We start from the raw sequence: 11,303 nt of genomic DNA, 5'->3' as shown, positions 1-11,303 counted from the left end.
TTATTTTTCATATTTTAAGTAGAGACGGGGTTTCGCCATGTTGGCTAGGCTGGTCTCAAACTCCTGACCTCAAGTAATCCTCCTGCCTCAGCCTCCCACAGTGCTGGGATTATAGGCATAAGCCACCGTGCCTGGCCCTAGAATGTAAATTTTTATGCCCTGCTCACTCCCCTCTAGATCAGGAATGCTGAGACTAAAACTCTGCAACCTGTGGTTTAACAAGCCTTACAGATGATGAAGTTTGAGAATTACTGCTACAGGATACTTTAAACTCTTTGATGTCTGCTTCCTAGCCATATTAGCCATATTAGCCCTGAGACTGCTTTCTCTTTCATTCTTTTGTTTGTTTGTTTGTTTGAGATGGAGTCTCACTCTGTTGCCCAGGCTAGAGTGCAGTGGTGCGATCTCAGCTCACCGCAACCTCCGCCTCCAGGATTCAAGTGATTTTCCTGCCTCAGTTTCATGAGTAGCTGGGATTATAGGCACCCACCGCCACGTCCAGGTAATTTTTGTACTTTTAGTAGAGACTGGGTTTAGCCATGTTGGCCAGGCTGGTCTCGAACTCCTGACCGCAGGTTATCCACCTGCCTCGGCCTCCCAAAGTGCTGGGATTAGAGGCATGAGTCGCCGTGCCTGTCCCCTCTCTTATTCTTAAATAGCAGAATAATTCATTCCTTCAACAAATAATCATTAAGTGCTTGATGTGTGTCAGGCACAGATCTAGGGAAGGAGGGTACAATGTTGAAAACACCAGGCAACAATCTCTGCCATATAGAGCTAGGATTCTAACAGGGGAGAGAGAGAATAAACAAGGAAACATACACAGCGTATCAGAAGGTGATGAATACAATGAAAAAATAATCACGCAGCAGGCTGGGATAGTGGATTCTCAGAAAATATCCATTTAACTCCTTAACCTAATTTGGATCCATCGAGAAGAAAAAGCTGCAGTAAAAATTAAATATGACATGAATTATCAGCTAAATGTAATAACTCTGTATTTCTTCTCTCAACGATTTGAGGTTTGTTGTTGTTTATTTTTATTTTTTGTATCAGCACCTACTTTTCATATGACACATCACTGGGAATTATATAGAAACTTATAAAACAGGCTCTTATACCTCTACTACCATGGCAACAAAGAATGTCACCTGACATAAAGGTGAACGTTCTTATATCCAGAGCTTCTTGGGCTGGAGTCATAGACTTTGAGTTACAAGATATTTAAAGATTATATAGCTCAACTCTGTTTTGTTTTGTTTTGTTTTTTTGAGACGGAGTCTCGCTCTGTCGCCCAGGCTGGAGTGCAGTGGCGGGATCTTGGCTCACTGCAAGCTCCGCCTCCCAGGTTCACGCCATTCTCCTGCCTCAGCCTCCCGAGTAGCTGGAACTACAGGTGCCCACCACCACGCCTGGCTAATTTTTTGTATTTTTTAGTAGAGACGGGGTTTCACGGTGTTAGCCAGGATGGTCTCGATCTCCTGACCTCGTGATCCACCCGCCTCAGCCTCCCAAAGTGCTGGGATTACAGGCGTGAGTCACCGTGCCCGGCCAACTCTGTTTTTTACTTAATTGTTTCTATTTTGTATGTGTAATGATTTTACTAATATCTTACTGAGAAGGTCATAGAGGTTATGGGATTGGCTTGAAACCAGTTTCTGGAGGTTCCATTCTTTCCTTTTTCGTTTAGGTTTTCATGTAGGTTGGCTCTTTGAATGTGTGGTAAGGAGGTGGACAGCCGTAAAGTCACTCTAAATTAGTAGATGTTTGTTCAATTGTTAGAACTTTTCGTTTTGAAGCAAAGGCTTCTCAGATTATAAAAAGTATTAGTCACTTTGGGAGGCCGAGGCGGGCGGATCACGAGGTCAGGAGATCGAGACCATCCTGGCTAACACGTTGAAGCCCCGTCTCTACTAAAAATACAAAAACAAAATTAGCCGGGCACGGTGGCATGCACCTGTAGTCTCAGCTACTGGGGAGGCTGAGGCGGGAGAATGGTGTGAACTCAGGAGGTGGAGCTTGCAGTGAGCTGAGATCTCGCCACTGACCTCCAGCTAGACTCCATCTCAAAAAAAAAAAAAATTAGTATAACTGCTGTTAGTGAGATAAATGAGCCTACAGATGAGATAATATTTCATGTGGTGTATGCATCAGGATAATCGGAGTAACGTCAAGGCATACTGGATAGGCTGAGAAAGTGTTGTGGGGAAGGAAATAAATATGGGGAAAAAATAAATTCTGAGCCCATAGTGGGATTGTCTATATTTTCATATCCCCATAACAATTATTTGAAATTCAAGGGTAAATACTTCCTTATATAACCTTTGCCTCTCTTAGCACAATGCTGACACCCGAATCATGTGCCTGACAAATGCTATTGATGGCGATTAGGATACTGTTTACTGGAATATAGGAAAGTGTACTCTCTTATATTGCAAGTCTGCACCTGAATTTCAAACAAAAGTGTACGCCATTTGACTCTGATACAATCAGCAACTTAATAACCAGCAGCTTTTTCATTTCATTACTTAAGTCTTATTGCTATAATATAATGCTACTAAAAATTTCAAAACTCTGTATTTCATCTAAGCTAGCATTTTTCAATTATTATCTCAAATAAATTTTGCAAAAATTCTATGAAGTCAGATTTAGTCAAGGTTATATTCAGTACAAGTAATGGAAGTACACTTCAAATTACCTTTAACAAAAAATTTAATGTATACTTCTTTGAGGTATAATTTATTAGAAATTTAATTGTATATTTAACAGAATTCAGGTAAGAATTTTACAATCAGCTCAACAGTTCCCTCCTTTTTGAAGAATTCTCTCATCTCATTCCTTTATTGTTAACTTCCTGTTTTGCTGCCTTTACACCATGTAATTCCTTGCCATAATGTTTCTTTCATAAAAATAACAAACGATCCTCTTTAAATTTCTGAAAATATAAATGAAAATAAAGAAAAAATAACTCATTAGTACTTTCAAAATTAAACCACTGCTGATATTTGCTGTGCTTATTAGCATTATTTTATAGTAAATTTAGAAAAAAACTGTGGGCAAACTTTTACTTAAAGCTATATATCAGACCAAGTACACACACACACACACACACACACACACATCTCCTAATACAGAACACCTAAAAATGCTGAACAACATATTTAAAGCATATTTTAAGTATGCTGAGCTTAAATACAAGTTGAAAATGAAAAACAATAATAAAGAATGATGGCCAAGTACAGTAGCTCACCCTTGTAAACCCAGCACTTTGGGAGGCCGAGGTGGGTGGATCACGAGGTCTGGAGTTTGAGACCAGTCTGGCAAACATGGTGAAACCCTGTCTCTACTAAAGATACAAAAATTAGCCAGGCATGGTGGCAGGCACCTGTATTCCCAACTACTCGGGAGGCTGAGGCAGGAGAATTGCTTGAACCTGGGAGGTGGAGGTTGCAGTGAGCCAAGATCATGCTACTGCACTCCAGCCTGGGCGACAGAGCAAGACTCCATCTCAAAAACAAAAAATAAATAAAAAGAAAGAAAGAAGAAAGAAAGAAAGAAAGAAAAGAAAGCAAGAAAGCAAGCAAGAAAGAAAGAAAGAGAAAAGAAAGAAAGAAAAGAAAGAAAGAAAGAAAGATACAAGAACAATACACAGTTTTTGAAACTGACTTTTTCCCTGAGGATGAATGTTTGTCTGTCAAGGGTGTTAGTGAAACATACACACAAAAATGTAAACAAAGTATGGAATACCAACATGACTGAATGACAGGTCAGAAGCCTTCTCATAGAGATAGGGCCCTAGAGGGATGAAACCCTCGGTGAATACATTAAATGAAAATCCTGTTCTATAGAGATAAGTGTGGGAAAAATTGTCCATCTTTTTCTTAGGTCTGAGTTGTGTGACTGAACAAAGAAAATAGTCTCTGAGAATCCCTAATGACAAATATATAATGAGGAGTTGGGCCAGAATTCATACCACATACGTGTCCTGGAAAACTTCAACCAAAAATGTTAGGTTAAAGCAAACTCACACAGGTATATTTCCTTGGACCCTGGAATAAACAAACACATCTCTGGAGAAAACAAGTCACTAGGAGCAAGAGCCAACAGAAACAACAAAGTATAGAATCAGATCTACAAAGACTGTAGATACTGGGATTATGAGCAACACTATAAAAATGAATATATTTAAATAATAAAAGTGGATGCATTAGGTATTTGTCCTAATGCTCTCCCTCCCCTTGCTCCCCACCACCGGACAGGCCCCGGTGTGTGATGTTCCCCTCCCTGTGTCCATGTGTTCTCATAGTTCAACTCCCACTTATAAGTGAGAACATGCGGTGTTTGGTTTTCTGTTCCCATGTTAGTTTGTCACCATGCCTGGCTAATTTTTTTTTTCACTCTCATCACCCAGGCTGTGGTACAGTGGTGCAATCTTGGCTCACTGCAACCTCTGCCTCCCAACTTCAAGCCATTCTCCGGCCTCAGCCTCCTAAGTAGCTGAGATTACAAGCATGCGCCACCACACCTGGCTAATTTTTGTATTTTTAGTAGAGATGGGGTTTCGCCATGTTGGCTAGGCTGGTCTTGAACTCCTGACCTCAGGTGGTCCCCCCGCCTCAGCCTCCCAAAGTGCTGGGATTACAGGCCTGAGCCATGGCGCCTGCCCTGCTAACTTTTTTTTTTTTTTGGTAAAGACGGTATCTCCCTATGTTGCCCAAGCCAGTCTTGAACTCCTGACCTCAAGTTATCCTCCTGCTTTGGCCTCCCAAAGTGCTGGGATTACAGATGTGAGCCACTATGCCTGGCCCTATTTATTTTTGTTGTTTACATTGTACACATGTTAGAGCTACACTTTTGCATATATAATTTTGTGTAAAATAAATTTAGCACTTAAATGGCATATAGAATATAAAGAGAGTAGGAGAGTATCCCGAGTATATTAAGGAATGTATTAAGAGTTCAATAACTACTTGCTACTATGTTCATCCTTTTATGTGGATAAATGTTTATTCTTTATATGGTAGGATATAATGTTTATCCTTTTATGTGGTTCTTTCTCGCTATATATATATATATATTATATATATACACACGTATTTATACACATATGTAAACAATAGAGAAGTATATGTTCTATGTGTGTATATGCATATGTATATATGCATACATAATATATTTTACATATCGTAGGATTCATACTGCATAGCATTTTTTTTTTTTTTTTTGAGATGGAGTCTCACCCTATTGCCCAGGTTGGAGTGCATTGGTTCAATCTTGGTTCACAGCACCCTCCACTTCCTGGATTCTCCTGCCTCAGCCTCCCAAGTAGCTGGGATTATAGGCAAACACCACCATACTCGGCTAAATTTTTGTATTTTAAGTAGAGATGGGGTTTCACCATTTTGGCCAGGCTGATCTCAAACTCCTGACCTCAGATGATCCACTTGCCTCGGCCTCCCAAAGTGCTGGGATTATAGGCTTGAGCCACTGCACCCAGCCATACTGTATAGAACTTTGTAGCCTGCCTTTTTCTTTGCCTTTGACTTAACAGCAAAGTCAGTGAAAAAAAAGCAAGCCATATTAAATATTCTTCCAAAACACGGCGTTTAATTGATGCATAATCCTCCATTCTATAGATCGACTATAATGTACTCAATCATTCCCTTGTTATTGAATGTGTATTTTACAGAAACCATTATACTGCATTGAAATAATTTGCTTAACTGTGTGTCCCTCCTATTGACTCTGAGAGCCCCAAGGGGAGGTCTATGGACCCCAGGCGCCATGGCTCAGTGGGAACATGGTGATGGTGGGCAGACTGAATGAATGAAGAGCCTTCTTCTCCTAGCCTCTGCCCACCTGCCACATGCCTGGGGTTTTCATTTAAGAACTGTTACATGGAATCTTTCCCACACTGGGGCTGGAGGCTTCCTCCTAACCGTTGGACCACAATAGAAAGAATTCTAAGGTATTTTAAGGCCCAGAATAGAAAAAGAACAGTAATTGCCTGCTCTAGCAGCTTACACACAGAATCAAAAGACCCAGTCGAGGAGTTCCCATGGAACAAATAACGTTTGCCTTTGGTAACTGTCTAACGTTCAATACCTTCCTTCGAAGGTTATTATTATTCTTGTGTATTTATCTAAGGCTCAGAACTGGTAGGAGTCTCTTTTCACATCTACAAATTAATAGAGGGATGATATCATGGGTTTTGTCTACCTTTTAAAAATAACTTAAGCTTAAAGTAAATCTCACATTTGGGAGGAAAATTCTGGTCTGCTTCCCAGAGAGTTAGATAATAAACTCTCACTTAAGGGCACACGATTTACCCACTCAATGAGTTTTCTAAAGTGCATCTTTGAGGCTGTCTGTTGGAGGGACTATTTGGGCTTAATTGATCAATTATGATAAAATCACAGAATTTTATAGCTGGGAAGAGCCCGTCGTTTGACAAATGAAGGGATTGGAGCTCAGGGTCATGCAATTAACTCATGGCAGCGGGTAGATTGGAAGAGAAATCTAACTGGTTGCTTGGAATTTCTATTACTAGACTACCTGCTTGGACAATGTATTTGATCACTAGTAGTGTTGCTACAGTAATCCCAGGTCTGGGAGGTAGGTCGCTGTCATACTTGGATTTCTTAATTGTACAGGACACATCATCACTAGTCACCTTAAGAAAGAAAGGAGGTTAGGCAGTGTGGTGATTCCTCAAGGATCTAGAATCAGAAATACCATTTGACCCAGCAATCCCATTATTGGGTATATACCCAAAGGATTATAAATCATTCTACTATAAAGACTCATGCACACTAAGTTTATTGCAGCACTATTTACAATAGCAAAGACTTTGAACCAACCCAAGTGCCCATCAATGATAGACTGGATAAAGAAAATATGGTACATATACACCATGGAATACTATGCAGCTATAAAAAAGAATGAGTTCCTCTCCTTTGGAGGGACATGGATGAAGTTGGAAACCATCATTCGCAGCAAACTAACACAGGAACAGAAAACCAAACACCGCATGTTCTCACTCATAAGTGGGAGCTGAACAATGAAAACACATGGACACAGGGAGGGGAACATCACACACTGGGGCCTGTTGAGGGGAGGGAGAGCATTAGGACAAATAATGCATGTGGGGCTTAAAACCTAGATGACAGGTTGACAGGTGCAGCAAACCACCATGGCACATGTATGCCTATATAACAAATCTACATGTTCTGTACATATATCCCAGAAACTTAAAGTAAAATTAAATTCAAAAAAGAAAGAAAGGAGGTTATTATAAGAGTGTTGTAGTGGCTCACTGTGGGGCACCTCCTCTTTCTATTATACCTAATTATCCCCTCATTGATGGCCTTGCTAGGGCCTCTCTCACAGCTGTTCTCATGGCCGTAATCCTGAGGCTGCCTTGGGTGGGGAAGTCGGCCAAAAGGTAGGCCCAATGCTGAGGACATGGTGGGGCTCCTCACTGAAGCCCATGGCCCCACAGTGACTTTCCTTGGCCCCTTCCTGAACTTTATGAGTTTGGTCCAACGGGGAGGAGATGTTATAAACTGCATTGCCTTCTCCCAAAAATATATGTAGAATTCCTAACCCCCAGTACCACAGAACATGACCTTATTTGTATTTCTTTTCTTTTGCTTGTTTTTAAAGTCAGGGTCTTGCAGTGTTTCCTGGGTTGGTGTGCAGTGGTGTGATCACAGTTCACTGCACCCTCAAATTCCTCAGCTCAAGGGATCCTCCCACCTCAGCCTCCTGAGTAGCTGGAACTACAGGCGCATGCAGTCATGCCCGGATAATTTTTTTTAATTTTTATAGAGATGGGGTCTTGCTCTGTTGCCCAGGCTGGTCTCAAACTTCTGGGCTCAAGTAAGCCTCTTGCTTCAACCTCCCAATGTGCTGGAATGACAGGTGTGGGCCACCATGCCCAATCCAGAGTGTGACTTTCTTTGGAAATAGAGTCATGACAGACTCAATCAAGTTAAAATGAGGTCATTAGGGTAGATGGACAAATATGTCTGGTGTCGTTAGAAAAGGGGGAAATTTGAACACAGAAACAGACACACATAGAGGGGGAGTGCTGTGAAGACACAAGGTGAAGGCATCTATAAGCTAGGGGACACCTGAGGCTGCCAGAAGCCAGGAGAGAAGCATGGATCAGATTCAGCCCTCAAAAGGAACCAACCCTGCTAACACCTTGATTTCAGACTTCTAGCTCCAGACCAGTGAGACAATAAGTTCCTGTAGTTTAAGCTACTCCATCTGTGGTACGTTGTTGTGGCAATTCTAGGAGACTCACATAGGGCACATCCTTTTACCTCCTGACCTCCCGTCATTCAGTTTTCCCTACTAACAATGGTTCTCCCTCTATTTCTCATGTCTAATTCTTTAGAGAAAGAATCTGGTCTACCTCTTCTTTGCCTACCCATCATGCAAAGATTGGATAAATTGGCCGGGCACGGTGGCTCATGCCTGTAATCCCAGCACTTTGGAATGCCGAGTCGGGCAGACCACAAAGTCAGGAGTTGGAGACCAGCCTGACCAACATGGTGAAACCCTGTATCTACTAAAAACACAAAAATTAGCCAGGCATGGTGGCACGTACCTGTAATCCCAGCTACTCAGGAGGCTGAGGCAGGAGAATAGCTTGAACCCGGGAGGCGAAGATCGTGCCATTGCACTCCAGCCTGGGCGACAGAGCAAGACTCTGTCTCAACAATGAAAAAAAAGATTGGATAAGTTAGGGACCCATGCCTGGTTCAATCAGCTGTGATTTAAAACAGATTGCATCCCATTATCTGGGAGGTGTGGGGGTTCAGGAAATGTTCATGACTCTGGAAAAGAGTGAGGCCTTGTAGGAACTAGATTGATGCATCTTGTAGATGCAATATTAGAAGACAGAGAGTTTCCAAGCCAAAATAGTAAGAACGCATCCTGAAATTAATATGGTTGTGAGAGGTGACAGCATGCTGGCAGTCCTCAGACCCCTCACTTGCTCTCGGCACCTCCCCTGCCTGGGCTCCCACTTTGGTGGTATTTCAGGAGCCCTTCAGCCCCCCCACTGCACTGTGGGAGCCCTTTTCTGGGCTGGCCAAGGCTGGAGCCCACTCCCTCAGCTTGCAGGGAGGTGTGGAGGGAGAGGCGTGAGCGGGAACCGGGGCTGCCTGCGGCGCTTGCGGGCTAGCTGGAGTTCTGGGTGGGCGTGGGCTTGGCCGGCCCCGCACTCGGAGCAGCCGGCCAGCCCTGCTGGCCCCAGGCAATGGGGGACTTAGCACCCGGGCCAGTGGCTGCGGAGGGTGTACTGAGTCCCCCAACAGTGCTGGCCCACCAGCGCTGTGCTTGATTTCTCGCCGGGCCTTAGCTGCCTTCCCACGGGGCAGGGCTCGGGACCTGCAGCCAGCCATGTCTGAGCCTCCCACCCACTCCATGGGCTCCTGTGCTGCCCGAGCCTCCCCGACGAGCACCACCCCCTGCTCCACGGCGCCCAGTCCCATCGACCACCCAAGGGCTGAGGTATGCGAGCGAACGGTGCAGGACTGGCAGGCAGCTCCACCTGCAGCCCCGTTGTGGGATCCACTAGGTGAAGCCAGCTGGGCTCCTGAGTCTGGTGGGGACGTGGAGAGTCTTTATATCTAGCTCAGGGATTGTAAATACACCAATCGGCACTCTGTATCTAGCTCAAGGTTTGTAAATACACCAATCAGCACCCTGTGTTTAGCTCAAGGTTTGTGAGTGCACCAATCGACACTCTGTATCTAGCTGCTCTGGTGAGGACGTGGAGAGTCTTTATGTCTAGCTCAGGGATTGTAAATACACCAATCGGCACTCTGTATCTAGCTCAAGGTTTGTAAATACACCAATCAGCACCCTGTGTTTAGCTCAAGGTTTGCGAGTGCACCAGTCCATACTCTGTATCTAGCTACTCTGGTGGGGCCTTGGAGAACCTGTGTGTGGAAACTCTGTATGTAACTAATCTGATGGGGACTGTGGAGAACCTTTGTATCTAGCTCAGGGATTGTAAACGCACCAATCAGCGCCCTGACAAAACAGGCCACTGGGCTCTACCAATCAGATGATGTGGGTGGGGCCAGATAAGAGAATAAAAGCAGGCTGCCCGAGCCAGCATTGGCAACCCGCTGGGGTCCCCTTCAACACTGTGGAAGCTTTGCTCTTTCACTCTTTGCAATAAATCTTGCTACTGCTCACTCTTTGGGTCCACGCTGCTTTTCTGAGCTGTAACACTCACCGTGAAGATATGCAGCTTCACTCCTGAGCCCAGCAAGACCACGAGCCTAGCGGGAGGAACGAACAACTCCAGACGCGCTACCTTGAGAGCTGTAACACTCACCGCGAAACTCTGCAGCTTCACTCCTGAGCCAGCGAGACCACGAACCCACCAGAAGGAAGAAACTCCGAACACATCTGAAAATCAGAAGGGACAGACTCCAGACATGCCACCTTAATAGCTGTAACACTCACCGCCAGAGTTCACGGCTTCATTCTTGAAGTCAGTGAGACCAAGAACCCACCAATTCTGGACACAGTTGCATAGCAAATAAAGTTGTTGCCTAATCAATGGTAATAAAATATTTGAAGAAAAAACATTTCTATATTGGGAAGGTATCAAAAAAAGTCCGGTGAAACAAAGCAATGAGACATTGACATGAGTGTGTGTGTGTGTGTGTGTGTAAAGAGACATTGAAATTTCCCTATCACATAAGAGAGGACTTCAAGAAAGGGTCATCTGTGAGCTGTAAGATTCTTCAAAGCTGCCTCCCAGAGACTTTGGTTCTGATTTTACATTTGCTAAGCAGCGTTCTGCTTAGTCATTCAACTTATCAGGCTTATGGGAAGAGGCTCATCTGGAGGATAAACATGAACATTTTGCTCACTCTCTTGCAAGAGAATAGACTGTCATTTAGGCATATACATCAGTCTCTTGTGAGTTTAATTAATGTGAATCAGCTCCCCTGAGACTCACCTACTTCTTTGTGACCCACAACTGTTAGGCAGCAGAACCAAGGCTGAGAAGTAGACTCTGAACATCAGTAACTCCAACATAAACTACTGAATAAAGTCCCCTCTGACCAAGCAGGTGGCTTGCTTTCTTAGTTTCAACAGTCGGCCCTCTGTATCCGTGCCTCTTGTATCTAAGGATTGAACCAACTGGGGATCAAAACCTATAGATACAGCAGGACTGACTGTATTAAGCCATTTTATTATTTAATTATTTATTCATTCATTTATTTATGTATATTGAGAGCAGAGTCTTACTCTGTCCTCCAGGCTGG

The 11,303-nt window shown here is 43.6% G+C and overlaps 1 pseudogene, besides 1 other annotated feature; it reads right to left on the bottom strand.

Moving 5' to 3' along the window:
- Positions 1,693–2,206, bottom strand: MTCO1P57 (MT-CO1 pseudogene 57; annotated as a pseudogene).
- Positions 10,694–10,894: a silencer, noted in NCBI's record as "peak6556 fragment used in MPRA reporter construct". NCBI's record gives its function as "represses an SCP1 promoter by STARR-seq MPRAs in K562 erythroleukemia cells {active_cell/tissue: K562}" and the evidence as "EXISTENCE:reporter gene assay evidence [ECO:0000049][PMID:32103011]".

The sequence above is a fragment of the Homo sapiens genome, chromosome 7, assembly GCF_000001405.40.
Source record: "Homo sapiens chromosome 7, GRCh38.p14 Primary Assembly".
Classification (NCBI taxonomy): Eukaryota; Metazoa; Chordata; class Mammalia; order Primates; family Hominidae; genus Homo; species Homo sapiens.
This window is presented reverse-complemented; position numbering and strand designations above follow the sequence as displayed.